Here is a 21,439-nt window from a genome sequence, read left to right on the forward strand (position 1 = left end):
AAAACAAGGAAAAGAAGGAAAACTGAGAGTGACAAAAGGAAATCAGTATGAATGGGATGTGCTCGGATCCTGTGTCAGACTTGTGCTATCTAATGGTCCAGTACTTGACTATTGGGAATATTAATTGGTGACAGTCCCTAAGTTAAGGGTTAGCTTGTCTGTTGGGATGCAGTTGGCACATATAGTTCTAGGTAGAGGTACTTCAGAGAGCCAGAAAGAAGACACCAGGTCTGTGTCATGGACACATGTGAGTGGGAGGACCTGGGAGTGTGCTTCCTGTGATCATTTCAGACTTGTAGAGGAAAGTTTTCTGGAATGAATGGTGTCAAGATTGGCCTGAGATATGTCCCAATTCAATGCTGCTGGGACCATGTTAACCCTTATGACCAGGGACTTGGAGGGAAGGTTTTAATGTACAAGCATCCAACTTTTATATATGATGTCAATCAGGTTATGATGGAATATGAAATGACATCTGTGACTGGATATTTATTACTTTCAGATGTACCCATAACCTTCCATCTTCAGCAGGACTGGGACTAGAGTGAAGCAAAGGAAGGGCTTAGGGCAGAGACTTTGAGGAGGCACCCACTCAGGGTCATGCTAGTGCAGCACTGGTCCTGGCTCTGTCTCCAGATCCATATGGCAGCTCCCTAAAGCTGGTCTCCTGGCCCCCTGGACTCGTCCCTGGATGGCCTTCAGCAACTCCCCCTGAAATTTCATGGAAAGTTTTATGTGCCTATGCACAGAGGCATTTTCATGGGAGAAGACGTCCATAGATTTTGGCTCCAGAAAAAGTATGCTCTATATCTCTGAAGGATTATCTTACCTTATTATGGAGCAATATCTGAGTTGAAATTTTTCTTGTTTCTCTGAGGAAGCTGAATTAATGGAAAGTTTCTCTTAAAACTTAGAATATATTGTTTGGCAATTTCTGCTGTGGGCCTAATATTGCAGAATCAAAGTTGGAGCTACATCATGTAGCACTTGCCTCAATAAGATTGCCTTAGTGACACAATGCAAAAGGTTACAGACTTTTCTTCAAGTTACCATTTCCCACAAGGGCCTGTGATGAAAGAAGAAAAGAGAAGCAAGAAAAGAAATAAGCTAGATACTTCCCCAGCACTTGGACCTTCAAAATTTGTACGATACAGGGAGACACTGTTCTTCTGTGGAAAGATCTTCTACTCTGCCACTGAGGCCAAGAAAGCAGAATGGCCAGAGTCAGAGAGGTGGACAGGTCGGTGAACACCAGGGCATTGATGTGGCAGTGTCTGGGAGCGCTGCCAATGCTCCCTAGCTCCCCAGTATGCCTCTTTACTTGGAGAGACTGCACTTGGAAAGAGACGCGTTCGGCCAGCTATTAACCAGCCGTTGCCCAGGAGGGCACTGGAAATCAGTTCCCTGACTGGTTTCCAATGAGTCACTCCCTTGCCAGCCTAAGCTGCTGCCTGTGCACCATGTTCAATCATTTACACCTACCTTCATGCAGACAAGTGCTGCAGAGGGGCAGAGATGTCTGAGGACCAAAATACGCTGCACCGTGGAACACTTACCTCATGTTGTGGAACACTTACCCTCACCCGAACGCCCCGCCTTTTCCAGACTTTCCTGTCTAAGAGATCGTGCCAAAGGGACGGGGGTGGCCATGCTGTTTTCTCTTACCGTGTCCTGCACAACTTATTTTGTATCCTTCCGTTGCCGTTTTAAGTGCATAGCACTTTCTATGTGGATGGATGTTAAGGCAATGCATTCTGCATGTGTAAACTTTTTCTTAGGGCCTCAAAGGGCATAAACGAAATTCATTCAGAGAAAGAAAGAAATTAGCTTTAGAAAATAAACAATTTAGCACTGGCATCGTTTAACAGGGTCCCATTCTCAAGGAAATGGGGTAAATGCCATTTCAGACACCAGCTCTGAATACTAACTGCAGAGAGTTCTTCTCCAGATTTGTGGATTTCCACAGCACAGAAAAAAAAAATAGGGTGGGGTCAGGATTGGGAACATGAGACCATCAACAGGGAGGGGAAGTACACACACATGCACAAAACTTATTTCAAGGGTCATCGAAAAGATTCTAGTGAAAAATGACTGGAGCAAAAGAAAATGACAATAACAAAAACTTGGAATTATTCTCTAATGCTTTAAAATAGTCCCAAGTGTACTACATAGTTTAAAATTGGAAATCAGTCAAGTTACCTAACTCTGCCACTCCTTGGACTGAATTAATGATCATAAGCAAAAAATGCTTGTGCAATTGTACTGTGTGGTCCAGATGTACAGCCCTGAGTAGAGAGATGGGGGCAGAGCAGACCTGGCTTTCCAGGTAGCCAAGGGGTCAGGGCTGGGGCAAATCAAAGCTTCCAGTGCTCCCAGCCTCATTCCCATCCAGATATTTGGCTGCACCAGCACTAGTTGTCTCATCATTTTCCCCTCTGAACCTCTGGTTTGTTGTCTGTCTTTGATATAGTAAGCTGTGTTTTGTTTTGGGTAAAAAGGGAAGTAAGAATGTGACTGATAGTATTTAAAGAACAAAAGGGAGAAACGCTTCATGAATTCATTTGATATGGAACATTGACCTAACATCCAAAAAAATACAACTAAAAAGTAGATCTTTCCCTCATTTGCATGGCTTATTTCCCCAGATATGTTTTTGGTATTGAAAATGAATGGTATTCCCATACAACATGTGTCTCAATTTGTAATGATATCCTCCTTGCAGCTGGCTTAGTTCTGCAAGTGTTTCTAAAATGTTACTGTCTTAAATTTGAACCAACCTACAATAACAAATTATCTAGAAGCAAAGTGGCTAAACGGCATTTGGAGAGAGAAGGGGAAACCCTATATTTCATCCTTCAACTCTTGTTTTAGAAATTCAGACTGTAACGTGATCTTTTTCTAAAGAAATCTACACACACACACTTTAAAAACTGTGCAGCTTGGGTGTTGTGGGAGCAAGAATGATCAGGTTTAAGTTTCTCTGCAAAGCTCTGCATCCCATCAACAAGCTCTTTTGATATTTTAAACCCGTATTTAGAGTAATTTCAAGATATTTGGAGCACATGTGGTTACATGTAAAACTTTGTCCTTATAATGTGTTAGATGCTCATACTTTAAATATTTATAAGCTTTTATTTATTTATTTATTTTTATTTTTTTCTGAGATGGAGTTTCACTCTGTTGCCCGGCTGGAGTGCAGTGACGCGATCTCGGCCCACTATAACCTCTGCCTTCTGGGTTCAAGCAATTCTCCTGCCTCAGCCTCCCAAGTAGCTGGGATTACAGGCGCGCACCACCATGTCCAGCTAATTTTTTTTTGTATTTTTAGTAGAGATGGGGTTTCACCCTGTTGGCTAGGATGGTCTCCATCTCTTGACCTCATCATCCACCTGTCTAGGCCTCCCAAAGTGCTGGGATTACAGGTATGAGCCACCATGCCCAGCCTTTATAAGCCATTTTTAAGTAATTTACCCAAAAGCTTTCTCCCACTAGAATACTATAATTGAGTAGTATCTGAGCATCATTATAGAAGATACAAGATGAAGTTGCTGCAGCATGCATTCACATTCTTCTTGCTTTTCTGGTTTTAATTCAAATGTCATTTTTAGTAGAATCAGCTTATTTTATTATTTTTTAAATGTATTAAAAAATCATAAACAAGATTGGTTGTCTGTGATTTAAAACAAAGAAATTCCCCAGCACTCAAAAGCTAAAGTGTTCTAACCTGAACCGTATTGAGTCCCACACGTGAGCGTGGTGGCTCACTCCTGTAATCCCAGCACATTGGGAGGCCAAGGCGGGTGGATCAGACTTAGGTCAGGAGTTCAAGACCAGCCTGGCCAACATGGGGAAACCCTGTCTCTACTAAAAATATAAAAAATTAGCTGGACATGATGGCGCATGGCTGTAGTCCCAGCTACTTGGGAGGCTGAGGCATGAGAACAGCTTGAACCTGAGAGACAGAGGTTGCAGTGAGCCGAATTCGTGCCACTGCACTCCAGCCTGGGCGACACAGTGAGACTCCATCTCAAAACAAAAAACAAACAAAAAACTTCCCATTAGAGTGTTGGATCTCAGTCTGTGTCCACATGAACTTAAAGTGTCATATTGTTCCTCTGAAATGTCTTAGGGACAATTTATTGGTGGTTGGATTGAATTCTTTACTATTTGCCTTCAGCCATCTTGGAAGCTAAGACATAGGATCCTGTCTTTATCATAGGTAGCCTGTTTGTGCACTTAATATGAAAAAGAGGAGGGGGAAACCCTTTTTCCAAACGCAGAATCCATTTAAGCTTTGGAGGTTATAAATTTCAAAGTGATCACAGGCCCCTGGGGCTCACACTCTTTTATGGCTGGCAAAATACAACTTTCTGGTAAGAATGGGGAAAAGAAGGCTTTAAAAGGCTCATAAACTTGCTTGGACATCTAATAGCTCTTACCAAACAGCATTCTCATGAGTTAAGTGTAAATGAGTCAGAAACACATAGATCAAATTTCTTTTAAAATACACATGGGTTTGAAAATTAAGGCCAAAGTGCTTGGCAAAATAAGTTTTGGTTTTATCCAAACCCAAATGTTGAAAAAATAATTCTAAGATTTGCCAAACCAAAAATACATGCAGATCTCTTCAATCCTCCCATTAAATAAGATGGCATCATAAACATGGGACTTAGTGGCTATTTTCATAATCCCCAAGGTTTAGGCAACATGGACCTTAAATATTGATTGAAAGACTATGAAAAATTTTTGGTGGAAAAACATTATAACCTTGCAAATGAAGATGAGGGCTACTGGTTCAGGGTTCTCATCCTGATTTTGACAGCACTTCTCACTGTCCGATCAGGTGATCAACTTGTCCTTTGTCTTAGCTCTGGGTGTGTGTGTGTGCATGTGTGTGTGTGGCCTATGCATAGCAATAATAACTTTTAAAATCCTATTTTTGGATTTTATAAATCCTAAATGTATACTTAATTCATATATTACAATCTGCGAAACTTAATAACTCCTCATCATATCCAAACAGAGGGAAGCAGTCCCCTTTTGCTCATTCATAGTTCAGAGATAGTCTTCATTTATTTCCCTAGAGGGTAAAACATATCCATTTTGCACTAACAATATCTAATGCTGACTTTGCTCAGGTCTGTGTTATTAAAAGATGAGAGAGAGAGAGGGAAAGAGAGAAAAGAAAAAAAGTAGGGGAGGGTGTGTGGCAGGAGTCCTTGACTTGATTTGAAGAACTAATAACCTACTGAGAGACAAAAAAAAAAGCCAAGGTCACTTTTACAAGCAACATGCAGAACCTGCAAACTGATGTGACACTGCAGACAGTAGGCTTCGCAAGAGCAGGGACCGGGTCCAGTTCACTCATTGTTGTAACCAAGTGCCTAGCACAGGGGCTGGAAGAATGAGCACACAAGTATTCAGTGATCACATGAATGAAAGCGTCTCCATAGAGGAACAGCTAATGAAGCTGCCTTGATGTAGTGCCTTCTGGTCGATGAATTCTGAATTCTGAACCTGAGGAGGGATGTGGGCTGGCGATCAGGGGTGGAGAAATGAGGGGTGAAGTAGCATGTTAAAGGGCACAGACACAGAAAAGAGCAAGCTGTATTAGGGATGACCTTCCGGTTCACTTGGCTGGAACAAAGGGCTTGACCACAGAGGGTGAGAAGCATGAGGCTGGAGGAGAGTGGGAAGGTGGTAGAACAGGAGTTTGGGGAATTTGTACTCAATACATTGGGCAACGTCACTGTGGCCTCAAGCACAAGAATGACAAGATGAAATCTGTGTTTGAGGAAAATTACTTGAGCAGCTCTTTGTAGACTGAAAGACTGACATTGCTAAAGCTGATGGTTGCATTCTGATGGCAGGCTAATTGCCAGCAGTTGATTCTAAACATTGCAGAACGTCATCGCTGGAGTGCGAGGGACATGCGCTGCCAGATCTATGGGTTAAGTATGGAAAGCCATTGTCTCTGGACAGTGAGAAGAACTTTCTTTGTGCTAAGTGGGCCTAAGGAAATGTCACAATGCACGGTGGAAGGAAATCTCACAATCAACAGACCATTCCAGGATCTAAAGAAGGAAGATGCTGGCTTGGCTCCAGATGGCCACAGAAACAGAGGCCCCACCCTTCTGACCAACCAGCAGCTCTGAGCCTTAAGCCAGCAGGGAAGGGCAGATGTGGGCTGCTGTTTCATGCATGCACAGAGGCAGGCCCTGGCTCTTGCAGCAGCGGACTTCACGAATGTGGAATGTGGAGGTTACACAGCGATGCCTAGACTGTCTGTCCTTAGACCGAAGGGCAGCAGAAAGGCTCAGGGGGCTTGCTCTATATTCCTTAGACATCTCCGGAGATTTTCTCAGCATCAGAATCAGATCCTCCCATGGCCTGCGGCTACTTTTAAGAAAGTTTGGCAACCTTTTGGATATGTCCTCTTCTCTTTTTTGACTTTCCAGGCTGTAAACCTTCAGAAGCTTCCACATGTGGTGCCAGTGGGCTCCTGGTGGTGAAGGAAGGTGGCAGTGTGGTTTAGTGGAAAAGAATATCTGCTCTGGAGTTGGGCCAGCTTGGGTTCGTATCCCAGCAGAGACACTTACCAGGTGAGGGAGAAAGGGACTTCAGCTCTCTGAGCCTCAGTCTCTATGTCATGAGTAATGAGATTGCTGTAAGAGACAGGTAAGGAAATGTATAAAGTGTGGCTCATCACAGATGCCCTAAAATGGCAGTTGCCATCCTGTTAGAAAGGATGCATTGCCTAAGGACAGAGCTTGGGGCTGGAGTGAGACCTGCCTGGGTTTGAAAACTGGCTGGGTCACTTACCAGCTGTGAGGATTTGGACAAGTTTTATAACCTCTCTGGGCCTGCATTTTCTCATTAAATAATTATAATAGCTAATATTTATTGAACACTTTCTACATGTAGGCAGTGTTTAAATGCTACATACCAACAATGCATGAGACTTAGCATTATTAAGCCCATTTTGCAGATGAAGAGACTGAGGCTTGGAGAGGTTAAGTATGCCACCCAGAGTCATGTGGCCAGTAAATGGCAGTGCTGAGATACGACTGGCAGCCTGGCTCCAGAGTTTCCATGCAAAACCACTGTCCATGGCTTATGTGTAAAAAATGAAGATAATAACCCCTACTTTGTGCAGTTATCAGCTCCAATGTAAATAACAAGTTAAAATGTCCGGGAGCTACCTGGCTCGTAGTAGATGCTTATTACAAAAATTGTCATGATAGCCCCTACAGCCCAGAACTTCTTCCCTTGGATGTGTAATGGAAAATAATGAAACACTTCCACGTTGTCAACCTCAGAGGTTAGGGAAACCATTCCAGAAATTCTCATAAAATCTCTGGTTCCACTTTTACAAGTCGAGACTGCAACAAAGAGAGCGAGTGCCCAAGGTCACAGGGTGGCGCAGCCAGGATTAGAACCTGAGTCCTCATCTGCCTTTCCTCTCGGTGGAACATGGGATCTGACCGCAGCTGCTTCAGTTACATGCCCTGTGCCAAGCACCAGAGTCATATTTTTGCCACCCACGGCATGGCTTCCTCACATCAGGAAGCCAATTCCAGAGAGAAAATAGGTTGTGCCTGAACATCTAGGGTTGAGAGGTTAAAGGGTTGCAGGAAAGCAGTTAGTAACCACACTCTCCATCATTTTTGCTGTTGGGGGAGAAATCAGTATTATAGCTCTTACATTTTGCAATGGCATTTGTACTAATATGAAGCTTTCTCCCTCCCTCTCTCTGCTAATGGGCTGGTCATAAAGAATGAATCAAGTGTGGAGAAGACTGCTTTCCCAGACCTCATCTAAATCCTAAAATCTGCCGTTGACCCACAGGTCAAAGCTACTTGCCACATGAAGCTGCTTTTTTCTCTGTATTCTTTCTCTTTTACCTAGAATGCCTCTGTTCATATAACATAGAGAAGTAACACACTTAATCTTAACACAGTAAACATCTGGCTTTTTTGTCACAGGCAGAATTTTTGGAAGGCCGCAGTCTTGAGAGTCAGGGTGGTAGAAATCAGAAAAGGACAAGGACCCTGTCCTTTCCACTGACCCCTTGAATGAGTCTCTAAATTCATCTAGGATTTAGCATCTCCCACTTTAACAGGGACACAGTGACACCTGCTCCTGTAGTCACAGTGGGGAGAGGGGAGCAGAGCTGTGGGCCAGGGGCCTGCTGAGTTCCATGAACTGACATCAGCTAGTTCGTGTGTTGGATGAGACTTGATGAAAATGTGTGGTTTTTTTTTTTTCTTATGAAAAACTTTTCAGAGTTCTTGTTTGCAAATGCAGGGTGTTAGGCCATGTATGTCTCTAAGGCACTATACAGCTCTGACATTGTGACCCTGCCACCCTACTGTCAGGGCAAAGAAGGGGGGAGATGGAACATAGGCTAGGGGTCAGCTCTCCCAGCGGGAGGGGGAAACTTGACTTTGGGGTTCTAGAAGCTGGACTTCCATCCACCTTTTCCTATTTCTGGCAACCCTTCCTGGCAAAGTTATTCATCTGTAAAATGGAGATAGTAATAAATATTTCAGTAGCATTGCTGTTTGCTTCCAAGTGAAATAAGTATATAAAAATGCCTGGTGCTGTATTTGATGTAAATTAGGTGTGCAATAAAATTTGACTCCTAGTCTGGGCACAGCGGCTCATGCCTGTAATCTCAGGACTTTGGAAGGCTGAGGTGGGAGGATCATGAGCCCAGGAGTTTGAGACCCCATCTCTACAAAAAATTTAAAAATTAACTGGGCATGCCTGTAGACCCAGCTACTCAGGAGGCTGAGGCCCAGGAGTTTGAGGCTGCAGTGAGCTATGATCATGCAGCTGTCCTCCAGCCTGGGTGACAGAGCAAGACCTTGCCCCGCCCCCACTACCAAAAAAAAAAAAAAAAAAAAAAAAAAACCATCAGGAGCCATGGCTCATGCCTGTAATCCCAGCACTTTGCAAGGCCTAGAGGCCAAGACAGGAGGATCACTTGAGCCCAAGAATTTGAGACCAGTCTGGGCAACACAGGGAGACCCCATTTCTACAAAAAATCAGAAAAAAATTAGCCAGGCTTGGTGGTACATGCCTGTGGTCCCAGCTACTTGGGAGGCTGAGATCACTTGAGCCCAAGAGGTTGAGGCTGCAGTGAGCCATGATGGTGCCACTGCACTCCAACCTGGGTGACAGAGCAAGACCCTGTCTCAAAAAAAAAAAGAAAACTCCTTTCATTGAAGACATAAACCACAATGGGAAGTACTTAGTTCTGAAAGCCAGGGCATAGGACCTAGGCTCTTGTTCAAAATTTCCTGCAGAACAGCTCTATCATGTAATTCTTCTTTATTCTATTTTTCTTTTTTGGGAGTGAACAGAGCCATCTGCTATAGTGTGTTTGTTAAAAAAAAAAAAAAGAAGAAGAAAGAAAAAAGAAAACTACACTGTTAGTCATGAATCCCTCCATGGTTTTGGAAGAGGGCCTACCAGAGACCTGGTCATTTGGTTTGCTTAAACTTCCAGGTTCTGGAAAGAACTTAGTAAAGAGGATCCATTGTCCAAGGTGAAGATAAGGACTTACTTAAGTGAGTGCACAAGAAGGGGCTCCGTAGTTCTGGGTTCTTCGCCCCTCAGAAACTTTTAGAGGTCAGCAAGAAATAGCAATGACCACTTATAAGAAAAAACAGACTGCTCTCCCCTAACCCATAGAACCAGCAAAGGAAAACAACATTTTCATTTGTAAAATGAAGACTTAAAGATAGAGTTATCCCAGTAGGGAGTCTTACATGGTTGTAATTTTTACTGATTAACAAGTAAAATAAGGGATATAGCTAAAAGAAAAAGTTATTTAAAAATTAAAGAAAACAAGGCCTTATAATTGGTTAATTTTTATTGTTATTTTTATTTTATTTTTAGTACTCAGGAACCTTAGCTTCTCAGAGCCATAGGGTGAGTAGCATCACAGTGATGAAGCTGCGATTCAGACCAGAGCCTAACACTGAGCTAAGATGAAACTCACCCTTGGCTCCCATACCCTCTCCTTACCATGAGCTATAGACTCGAAAGGAGAAGGAATGTTTTTCAGTTGCAGGCATATCTCACTTTATCATGCTTCGCTTTATTACGCTTCACGAATATTGCCTTTGTACAAATGGAAGGTTTGTGGCAACCCTGTCAAGTCTATCAATGCCATTTTTCCAACAGCATGTGCTCACTTTATGTCTCTGTGTCACATTTTGGTAATTCTCACAATGTTTCAAACATTTTCATTATCATATCTGTTATGGTGATTTGTGATCAGTGATCTTGGATGTTACTATTGTCATTGTTTTGGGACACCATGAACTGCACCCATGTAAGAGGTAAACTTAGTCAATAAACGTTGGGTATGTTCTGACTGCTCCACCAACTGGCTGTTCCCCCATCTTTCTCCTTCTCCTTGGGCCTCCCTATTTCCTGAGATACAAGATTGAAAGTAGGCCAGTTAATAATTCTATGATGGCCTCTAAATGTTTAAGTGAAAGGAGGGCCTCTAAATGTTTAAGTGAAAGGAGGAGACCCATGTCTCTCATTTTGAATCAAAAGCTAGAAGTGATTAAACTTAGTGAGGAAGGCATATTGAAAGCCAAGACAGGCCAAAAGCAAGGCTACTTGTGCCAATCAAGTTGTGAATGCAAGGAAAAAGTCCTTGAAGGAAACTAAAATTGCTACTCCATGGCTAGGCACAATGGCTCAAACCTGTAATAATCCCAGCACTTTGGGAGGCTGAGGCTGGCGGATCGCTTGAGCCCAGGAGTTCAAGATTAGCCTGGGAAACATGGCAAAACCCTGTCTCTACAAAAAATATGAAAAATTAGCTGGGTGTGATGGTGCACACCTGTAGTCCCAATTACTCAGGAGGCTGAGGTGGGAGGATCACCTGAGCCTGGGAATTTGAGGCTGCAGTGAGCTGTGATCATGCCACTGCACTCCAGCCTGAGTGACTGAGATATTGTCTCTAAATAACAAATAAATAAAAATGCTACTCCAGTGAAGACACAAATGATAAGAAAGCAAAACAGCCTTATTGCTGATATAGAGAAAATTTGAGTGGTCTGGGTGGAAGATCAAACCGACCACAATATTTCCTTAATCCAAAACTTAATCCAGAGCAAGGCCCTAACTCTCTTCATCACTGAAGACTGAGAGAGGGGAGGAAGCTGCAGAAAAAGATTTTGAAGCTAGCAGAGGTTGGTTCATGAGCTTTAAAGAAAGAAGCTGTCTCCATAACATCAAAGTGCAAGGTGAAGCAGCAAGTGCTGATGTAGAAGCTGCAGCAAACTACCCAGAAGATCTAGCTAAGATCATTGATGAAGGTGACTACACTAGACAATAGATTTTCAATATAGATAAAACAGCTTTATATTGAAAGAAGATGCCAACTAGGACTTTCATAGATAGAGAGGAGTCAATGCCTGACTTCAAAGCTTCAAAGGACAGGCTGACTCTCTTGGTAGGGGCTAATGCTGCCGGTGACCTTAAGTGGAAGCCAGTGTTCACTTACTGTTCTGAAAATCCTAGGGCCTTTAAGAATTATGCTAAATCTACTCTGCTTGAGCTCTGTCAGTGGAACAACGAAGCTTGGGTGACAGCACATCTCTTGATACCATGGTTTACTGAATATTTTAAACCCACTGTTGAGACCCACTGCTCAGGAAAAAATAATTCTTTTAAAACATTACTGCTTATTGACAATGCATTTGGTCATCCAAGAGCTCTGATGGAGCGGTACAAAGAAATTAATTGTTTTCATGCCTGCTAACACAACATTCATTCTGCAGCCCATGGATCAAGGAGGAATTTTGACTTCCAAGTCTTATCATTTAAGAGATACACTTCATAAGGCTCTAGCTGCCATTGATAGTGATGCCTCTAACAGATTTGGGCAAAGTACATTGAAAATCTTCTGGAAAGGATTCACTATTCTAGATGCCATTAAGAACATTTGTGATTCATAGGAGGAGGTCAAAATATCAACATTAACAGGAGTTTGGAAGGAGTTTATTCCAACACTCGTGGATGACTTTGAAGGGTTCAAGAGTTCAGTGGAGGAAGTAGCTGCAGATATGATAGAAATAGCAAGAGAATTACAAGGGGAACCTAAATATGTGGCTGAATTGCTGCAATCTCACGATCAAACTTGAACAGATGAGGAGTTGCTTCTTAAGAATGAACAAAGAAATTGGTTTCTAGAGATAGAATCTGCTCCTGGTAAAGATGCTGTGAACAATGATGAAATTACAACAAAGGATTTAGACTATTCCATAAACTTAGTTGATAAAACAGCAGCAGGGATTGACTCAGTTTTGAAAGTGTTCTATTGTGGGTAAAATGTTATCAAATAGCATGGCATGACACAGAGAAATCCTTTGTGAAAGGAAGAATCAACCAATGTGGCAAACTTTATTGTTGTCTTATTTTAAGAAATTGCCACAGCCACCCCAGCCTTTGGCAACCACCACCCTGATTAGTCAGCAGCCGTCAGTATCAAGGCAAGACTCTCCACCAGCAAAAAGGTTATGGTTTGCTGAAGGCTCAGATGATTGTTAGCATTTTTTTTTTTTTACAAATAAAGTATTTTAAATTAAGAAATGTAAATTGTTTTTTAGACATAATGCTACTGCACATTTAATAGACTACAGTATAGTATAAACATAACTTTTATATGCACTGGGAAACCCTCCAAAAAAATGCATGTGACTTGCTTTATTGCAATGCTCACTTTATTGCAGTGGTCTAGAACCAAACCTCCAGTATCTCCCACGTATCTTCATCAGTTAATGAGCTATAAGAAAAGAGATGTCATCCTCTTCAAAAATGAGAACAATTTCTATCCTGCAAAAGCCATTTAAAAACTCTTCATGAAGCAATGGTTGATGGAGGAGAGAAGGAATCGTGTTTTGGTAAAAACCTTCCTTCCTGGGATGGGTTTGGTGTGGGGACCACTATCTGGCATCACACTCAGAGTTTATCAGCTAGTGCAGGCGGCTCTGTTCATTGACCGCAGGGCTCTACCCTTGTGAGTGTCCCAGAATAGCTGCGGCTACCTGAGAGCAATCCAGTCCTCAGGGACTCGTTATTGTCCCAGATAAACAGCGTTGCCGCAGCCAGCACGTAATGGCTGTATTTAACTGTGATAAGTGATGGGCAGACGTGCCCGAGTGAGTGGATCTCTGGTAGGGCCTGGGTAATTGGACAAAGGCAAGCTGGCTGGCAGCAGGCATTTCTTGCACATCATAGAATTGATGCCACAGGGTTTTAGACTCCTGGGGATAAATATGACAGACATGGGGAGCTTGCCTTCTAAATGAGGAAGACAGGACAGACCTACTGGATTTTGATTATGCTAATTACAAAAGTATTTGAGGAAGGAAATAATACAAGTTTAGAAAATGGGTTAGATTAATAGAGGCAGGCTTCCTGGTAGAAGTGGAATCTGCCACCACAGAAGAGCTAGTTTGGAAATGTTGGGATGTAGAATAAGACAGACATTTTTCTCTGAACACACATTTACTTTTGGGAGTGGTTGCCTGGAAGTTTTATGGAATGCTAACAGTGAAAGTCTTAGGCCATAAAGGTCAAAGAAGTAAAGGTGAGAGTGGCCATATTTTGACAGTATCAACATTGAGAGAATGTATTTAGACACAGTTTTGCTATCTATAATTCTCTGGAAAATTTTGTGTTATAAAGGTGGATGAGTATCTAGATCACATTCTTGGCCATGCTTCCCTGATAAAACAGAAAAGTGACTCACCAGGTGAACAGAGAGTCTCTCAATGCATTTGGTGTGCAGTTACGATTCCATGAAGAGAAATATTTCATTCCTCTGGCCAAAAGGGGCAGGCAGGCCTGGAATTCTGAAGATAGCTGGTCATACATGCCCGATGGAGACCATGCCTTGTGGTGCCAGCGTGTGTGTATGGTACATACATAGTACATGTATGATACATATATAGCATAAGAAATGGGCTTTTATTTGTATGTAATTGTGTGTGTCTGATGCTTCATGTAGCAGGGGTGGGTTATCCTGCCTTCAGACAAATGCCCAAATCAGAGGAAAACCCAAGTGTGAGGTACAATTGTGGCCACTTCCCCAGAATCCCCTGCTTTAAGGGGTATTCCACAAACCTCTGCCATAGATGTGTGTGTATGTTTGTGTGTACTGAGAGAAGGAGACTTTCTGAAATTTTGGAGTTCAGGGTCCAGAAGTTCATGGGCTTCCTTGTATACTGGTAACAGATTAATATTCAGTTGTTCAAGTTTATAATTCTACATATTTGATACTGGATTTTGTGGAAAGATTCCACAATCTGAGCATGTGAGAAATGGAAGACTTAATACTGAAGCTCACCCAGGCCCCCACTGCACAGAGGAAGAATCGAGGCTCTGAGGGATGGTGGCTGAGGAACACAGTGGAAGAATCGAGGCTCTGGGGGAGGGTGGCTGAGGAACATGGAGGAGGAATCAGGGCTCTGAGGGAGGGTGGCTGAGGAACATGGAGGAGGAATCAGGGCTCTGAGGGGAGGGTGGCTGAGGAACAGTAGAAGAATCAAGGCTCTGGGGGAGGGTGACTGAGGAACATGGAAGAGGAATTGAGGCTCTGAGGGAGGGTGGGTGAGGAACATGGAAGAGGAATCAAGGCTCTGAGGGAGGGTGACTGAGGAACATAGTAGAAGAATCGAGGCTCTGGGGGAGGGTGGCTGAGAAACAGGTCCAAGGTCACATAGCCAGTCAGAGGCATTTGTACTGTAACTCGGGTCTCTGTTTCGCTTATTGTAGTAATTTCCCCTTTGCACAGATGAAGACATTTAGACATGGAGGACAGTTTTTTCGTAAGATTCTTCTGCTTGGCAAGGACAAAACAGAACCAGCTCCAGACTCTGGAACTTCCTGCCATGATCACTTTCTAAAAATCCAAACTTATTTCCTCCCCACTCTGTTGGATTTCATACCTTCCATACCAATAAATATCAGAAAAGTGAAGCCCAAGCTTGGTTCTTCATTTTCATCGATTCCAGAGTCTTTTCCTGTGTCACCAACAAGGGGGCTGCCCTGAACCAGCCAGAGCCAGAAGGACAAATGAGGATGCCTTCAATACCGCCCCCTCCTCAAATGTTATCAGCAGAGAGGGACTTGTACTGCCACCATCTGGCCTTTGTGGGTGTCCCAGACACAGCAAGTATGTGGTGAGAGGGAAGGAAACAGCACAAATTGTCTACTTTACCATTCTCTTAAAATAAGCTTCGTGTGAGCAAGCTTTTCAGAGCAGCAGGACTAGGGCTGCGAAAAATAGAGTGTGGTGCAGCTGCACCCTTCAGAACTTTGGGGGAAAACACATATTATTTACCAGACAATAATAGATACCAGAGAATAATAATGATTATTATAGTGTTTGGGATGGCAAATGCTGTAGTTAAGGTTCCAGAATGGCTCTTATTATAATCCCGTTTTACCGAGTCTCTTGTGAAAGCCTGGAAATTTTCTTTAAGTAGGCTGATGCTGTCCGTGTTTGGTCTTTGTCCAAAGGTGATTTGAATATAAAGAAACTTACTGGAGAAACATTCATTTTTTTAAATAGTGATTGCATTAAAGAAAAAAGCTACATTATTAAAAAAGCAGTTGCAGCATCCCTAAGTAAGCAATTCAAAATGGCGGTGTTTCCCAGTTTACTGGAGGAAAATGTTAAACATTCTCCCTCCTCCCTTTTAAAGAAAGAAGGAGGCCCCCTCTAACTACAAGATTCAGTCACTCTTGGTTCCAGGCCCAGAGGTGGGGATGGCTTCCCTCCCTCCATAGCAACTTCCAGGCTGTGCTTGCTAAATGCAAAAGAATTGTTCCCAGAAGAAGTGACCCCGGTGTCTTTGGATCCACTTGTCATCTCTGCAGCTCCTCAATTTTTGTGGCCTCACATTTGATAGTGGCTCTTGGTGCTTTTATTTTTGTATCCCCTCTCTCCATTGTCACTTATTCTTGAGAAAGAAAGAAAAGAAAGAAAGAAAGAAAGAAAGAAAGAAAGAAAGAAAGAAAGAAAGAAAGAAAGAGAAAGAAAGAAAGAAAGAAAGAAAGTAAGTCAAATGTGAGCTCTTTATTCAGAAATAAATATCCACATTTCCAAATCTGACCATGCCAAATGAAAAGGTTTCCATGGCCTTGTAATTCCACCCCCATTACATATTTGTGGTGTTTTGCATTTTCACTTTGGTTATTTAATATACATATTAAGTACACACAGATCTGGTGATTTAATGTGATTGGGGGAACTCAGGCATTTCCTGTCGTGCACAGTGAAACTTTCAAACCTTGTTTTTGGCTGCTGCTGATTATTGTTGCCATTAACACCAGGATTTAGATAGCAGGGTTCAAAGCACAAGCTTCCACTTAGTCCTCCCAATGGGCATTTGACCTCCTCTTGCTCTTGCTAAATTCATGTTATAAACACTCCAAGCAAGCTTCCAGGTCTCTTTGTGGCTCCATTTCTTCACTATAAAATGAGGAAATGGTACTGTATTATCTCTGGGGTCCCTTCAAGTCCTACATTCTATCACCTCTCTGAAGTTATTTGTTCATTGTTCTAAGAATAATCTCAACAGTTGTAAAGATGTTTACAAGTCCTCTGTCACCACCTCACCTTAGCCAAATTTTACCCATTCACATTTCTGACAGCCTCATTTATTGGCAGGAAGAAAAGGTGCTGTTTTGGGGCATGGCAGAAGAGAGGCGCCTGACCCACTCATGTGATCAAAGTGTGTCGAGCGCCCACAGCGGGCCAGACTCTGAGCTACGAGTTGGGTGTAGAGACACGAGCAAAACAGACAAGCCCCTGACCTCTGGGGCTTTACCATGCAGTTGGCAGACTTCTAAGTGGCTGCTCCCAGAACTGACTGAGTGGCCTCAGGAAGCTCTATTTCAAACCAAGTGACTGGCGGCAAATGAAAGAAGGCTGCAGGTATCAAGAGGCAGAGCCTCATATCTCGGTGAATGTTGGGATGAGCATTCCCCAGAAACTGACTTTCCTGGTGGAAAATCCTGTTCAGAGCCTCTGCCCTGGGACCCCAAGGCTCTTGGTTGATTTATTTTCTTCCAGTCCAGTGCTACTGTTTGTTTTGGATGTGAAGAGATGTGAATGGCTCACCTTTTACAGGCAAGACCCACACACGGAGAAAAGCAAGCATTTCTTCCAGCTTAGTTGCCTTTGTGGGAAACTTCTGAAGATAGGTATATGTGTCCATGGTAATTTTCCACTTGCCAAAAAGTGAATCTATTGGCCCTCTTTTCAGCAAATACCAGAGCTGAGACATGGGGTTACAGGAGTGAGGTCAGGAGCTCCAGGGTCCTCCGTGACCTTGCCTGGCTTTGGAGTGACCTTGGGTGACTCAAAAGACCTCCTGCTGGGGCTGGATGCGGTGGTTCATGCCTGTAATCCCAGCACTTTGGGAGGCTGAGGCAGGAGAATCACTTGAAACTGGGAGGCAGAGATTGCAGTGAGCCAGTTGCACCACTGCACTCCAGCTTGGGCAACAGAGCGAGACCCTGTCTCAAAAAAAAAAAAAAGCCTCCTGCTGGTTAAGCATGCAGTCATGTGGAGGGGGAGGGTTGCTGGGTTGCAAAGGATGCTGTGGTCTTTGGGTGAGGGCGTGGTGTACCCTACTCATTATGGTATTCCAAAAAGCGACTTGAGTTTCATTTCCTCACACAAAGCTGGCAGGGCTGACCTGAGCAGACCGTGAATGAAACTCCTGTTGAAATCACGCTGTGCTGCAGCGGTTCTGGGGCTCATCCTAGGTCTGCCCTGGCGGCTGGAGAGTGTGCTGCTGTCTGACTCATGCCTGGGTTCTCCCCAGCTGGGCGGAGGGAGGGGGATCGGTCCAGTGGATTCTGACAGCCCCTTCTGCTCTTTTTCCAGGAACGTTCACTCACAGGGTACGCTCATGGAGAGAGGGCGCAGAGCAAACCATGTCACGCCATCCAATGACACCAGCTGGTCAGCTCACCACCCCCTCTGGCTAAAACTCAAGCAAATAAAGCCGCTTCCTGTCATTAAGCATCTCAGAGGAAGCAGCCCTCCCTCGATGGCCTCTAGCCCAGAGAAGCCCGCGCATCTTGGACCCACCAAGCAGGCCCAGCCTTCCTGCTGCCACCATCTCTGCTTCTCCCCAGAGGAACTTAGGGATTTCACCCCTGGCTTTTAAAAAAAACGAAATACCGACAAGCCACAAGGACCAATGTAGGTATTCTCCCCGCCCCATCTTCAAGGCTCAGCGACTGAGGCTGGAAGATGATATGGATTGGAACACAAAAAATCTTTTTTTAATCTTTTTAAAAACTGCTGTGGTTTTGCTGCTACACTAAGAATTGTGATTTGCATTGTACGGTTTTGGACCTATATTGTTCACGTTTTGATGGCGGAGAGGGGTGGTCCTGGAGGCCCAATGCTTCAGAGTCATCTCTGTCCTGCCCGGGATGCACTTTTAAATGAAGAGTTAGAATATTTTATTGGCTAATATACTTTTCTTGTTATTTTTACAAAGGCCACCTTTATCCTTTTTGATGCCATATTTTCAGTGTTACACTTTTATGGCTTTTAATTTTCGATTTGACAGATGTAAGAAGCAGCATGAATAGTTTATACTGTGGTTTTTCAGAGACTGAATGCCAAGAGAACTCGGTAAATGTTTATTCTTCTCAGCTTTCTCTTTAAATTCCCCTAAATAGCGCCCCATTTGGGAACAGAGCAAGAGTGTTGAACTGAAGACCAAAATGCCCTCAAGGTGTAAAATAATCCGAGGGGGAATATTTGCTGGGCGTCAGGAAAGACTCAGATGAAATTTCAACCCTGATGGTTTTCGGTGATCCAGGAAGTCAGTGAGACAATCTCTCTATATGCAGAGCCCTTTCATGATAATTAGAATGGTATGGACAAACCAATGAAAACAAGAGGGAAAGTGAGAAAGATCACCCATGATTCTGTTTCACTGTTTGCTTTCTCCTGTCATGGTTAAGAGAAATGTGCAATTCGATCCTCAATCAGTGGGTGGAGGATAACAGGGTAGATTCACTTGTGTGCACTTGTACAGTTGTAGCTGCGAGTCCAGAAGTCCTCTAGAGCATGTGTACTGGCACTGAGTTGGTGAGACAGTTGTGGAGTATCCCATTCTGATGAGTACAGAAAAAAAAAGAAAAAGAAAAGAAGAGAAAAAATTAAGAAAAAAATCAAAAAAGGAAGAAAACTAAAAAAAAAAAAAATCAAATCACCTTGTGATTCAGTGTATCTGTTTACTAACTCAAATAAAGCAATTGTTCCCTCTGGAGGGGTCCAGGTGCCCCCGCCCCACAAGGCCGCGGAGCCTCAGCAGGAGGGGTGGCGAGTTGCGGGTGGGCAGGGCCAGGACGGTGTGGCGCCAGCCTTGAAGCACCACGGCCCAAGGATGCGGTGTACATACTGTATTTCTAGATTCTCCTTTGTACAGAGTCACTTCACAAGTCAAGCTACTGTTTTACAGGTGCTCCTTATTTATTAGAGCTGTGAGAGCTTGGGGGACACACCTGGCGAGCAAGCTCGCTTTTTAAAAATGAAATTTGGGGGCAGGGGAAGGGGAGGCGGGAGGGAGGGGAAGCTCGCAAGCCCGGGGAGAGATTTATAAAAGTAAACAAAAGAAAACCTTCCAGCAACAAATTAAAAAATAATAACAAATCAACCCCAGCACCAAACCCACCCAGGCAGGAAGAAGCCGCCCCTCCTCTGGGGCCATATTTTTCTGCTGGGTCACAACATTCTCCTCTCCCTGACTGGTGTCAGATTCATCAAACAAAAAATAAATCTCGAAGAAAAAAAATGCACTTACATGTGCTTATTTGGCTTTTCTCATTATTATGACTACTGTTTTTTTTTGTTTTTTGTTTTTTGTTTTATTACAGAGGTGTTCATTTTTCTCCCCCTGGGAAACATTTTAAAAAATAGAACTAAGGAGTTTTAAAAGATGGTAAGCTACTGGGATGGCACTGTCTCTTCCTGACCTGCTAGACCACGCTTGTCTGCAGACAAGAGCCCACTCCGTCCGTTCCAGGGCCTGCTTCCTAACCATGCCCATCACTGACAGCACACAGTGCATGGGAAGTGAGTGTTTAGGCTGTAGACCCAGGTGTGGTGTCCCTTCCAAGTGCTCTTCAAGTCCTGATCTTTTTTGGCTCCAAGGGTTCAGGCCTGAGGTTCAAGAAGCACCATCAAATGGAGGCAAACATGCTCCACGGGTTCCACTCACATCCACACACCATCTCACCCCACTGACTAGAGAGACTTTTATTTCAGCCTTATGTGAATGGGGTGGGTCCGTTTGGCTCTTTGATACCTGAGTTAAATATCAGAAAGTTCCTAAGGTGGAAAGTATGCTAATATCTAGTTCTAGTCATTGTAAATCTAGTTCAGTTCTCTTGTTCTACATATGAAAAAACAGAAGCCTAGAAAAGCAACTCGACCTGTTCAGAGTCTCGCACTTAGTTGATTTAGCTTCTCAAAAAAATGAATGTTCATTAAAATCTGAGGCACCACGAGCAGCTCCCTTGAAGTGATCATCCTGTGGATTCCGGAGACCTGATTTTCTTCTCCCATGGAGCCCGAGAGAATCTTGGAGGCTTCCTGGTGCAGAGTTATATTTATGGCGGTGACTCCGTCTGAACTCTGCCGAGGCAAGCCCAGCCAAGGACGTGCCAGCGGCCGAGGCACCCGGCTGTGGTTGTCCTGATAGCATTATTCATCTGGTCTTGGCCATGGAGACAGTCATCCAGGATATTGATTTTGCTTTTGTCTGTAGTCCAAGATTGTCAAGCAAACATTTTGACCCTTCTGGAAACAAAAGGTACCTTTGTTCCAGCATAGAAAGATTCTGTGGCATCTCATAAGCCATCAGCACCCCTTTTCCTCCTCTTCCTTCTCACGATCTTACTGCTGTCTGAATGCACAATTCTCTTGGGATATCAAAACCATATATAAAGAGAAATAGAAACAATAATGTATGTAAGTGTGAATACGTGTCGAGCGTTTGCACATTAGTCTCATTTAATCTTCACAATAACCTTCCCTATGGGAAGGGCCTTTATTTTCTCTTTATTATAAATACAAAGAACCTGGAGCTCAGCAGTTTAGTAATCACCCAAGGTCACAGGGCTAGTGAGTTGCCGAATGGGATTCAAGCCCAGGAGGCTTGGCACCAGTACCCAGCCCCTACCTCCAGTGTGGAGAAAAACTGTTGACATCTTCATGAAGAGTCTTCGACTTCCTGTAAATGTGTGGTAGTGATTCAGTTTTATTCAAAAGTGGTCCTCATTTTAAACCAAGCCAGAAGATTGCATGTTAATGGTGAGTGCACGCCTCACCTTACTGGATGCGGGGACTTGCAGAGGACATTCTGCTTTC

The 21,439-nt window shown here is 43.5% G+C and overlaps 1 protein-coding gene across 9 annotated transcripts in view, besides 4 other annotated features; it reads left to right on the forward strand.

The window, feature by feature from the left end:
• The window catches only part of SOBP (sine oculis binding protein homolog), a 171,190-nt gene extending 150,158 nt beyond the window's left edge, over positions 1 to 21,032 (forward strand). For 8 of the 9 annotated variants that reach the window (XM_011535920.3, XM_047418962.1, XM_047418963.1 and 5 more), the window contains one exon: positions 503 to 3,662. The gene's annotated coding sequence lies outside the window, so the exon portion shown is untranslated. Of the gene's footprint in view, positions 1 to 502; positions 3,663 to 17,932 lie in introns of those variants that run through there. The other variant, NM_018013.4, reaches the window with a different exon arrangement.
• Positions 17,255 to 17,832: an enhancer, noted in NCBI's record as "H3K4me1 hESC enhancer chr6:107978733-107979310 (GRCh37/hg19 assembly coordinates)". NCBI's record gives its function as "activates a minimal SCP1, AML or CMV promoter by ChIP-STARR-seq in naive H9 embryonic stem cells {active_cell/tissue: H9 hESC(naive)}" and the evidence as "EXISTENCE:reporter gene assay evidence [ECO:0000049][PMID:30033119]".
• Positions 17,581 to 17,630: an enhancer, noted in NCBI's record as "active region_24904". NCBI's record gives its function as "activates an Ori minimal core promoter by ATAC-STARR-seq in GM12878 lymphoblastoid cells {active_cell/tissue: GM12878}" and the evidence as "EXISTENCE:reporter gene assay evidence [ECO:0000049][PMID:35858748]".
• Positions 17,833 to 18,409: an enhancer, noted in NCBI's record as "H3K4me1 hESC enhancer chr6:107979311-107979887 (GRCh37/hg19 assembly coordinates)". NCBI's record gives its function as "activates a minimal SCP1, AML or CMV promoter by ChIP-STARR-seq in naive H9 embryonic stem cells {active_cell/tissue: H9 hESC(naive)}" and the evidence as "EXISTENCE:reporter gene assay evidence [ECO:0000049][PMID:30033119]".
• Positions 17,871 to 18,060: an enhancer, noted in NCBI's record as "active region_24905". NCBI's record gives its function as "activates an Ori minimal core promoter by ATAC-STARR-seq in GM12878 lymphoblastoid cells {active_cell/tissue: GM12878}" and the evidence as "EXISTENCE:reporter gene assay evidence [ECO:0000049][PMID:35858748]".

Source organism: Homo sapiens, chromosome 6, assembly GCF_000001405.40.
Source record: "Homo sapiens chromosome 6, GRCh38.p14 Primary Assembly".
NCBI lineage: Eukaryota > Metazoa > Chordata > Mammalia > Primates > Hominidae > Homo > Homo sapiens.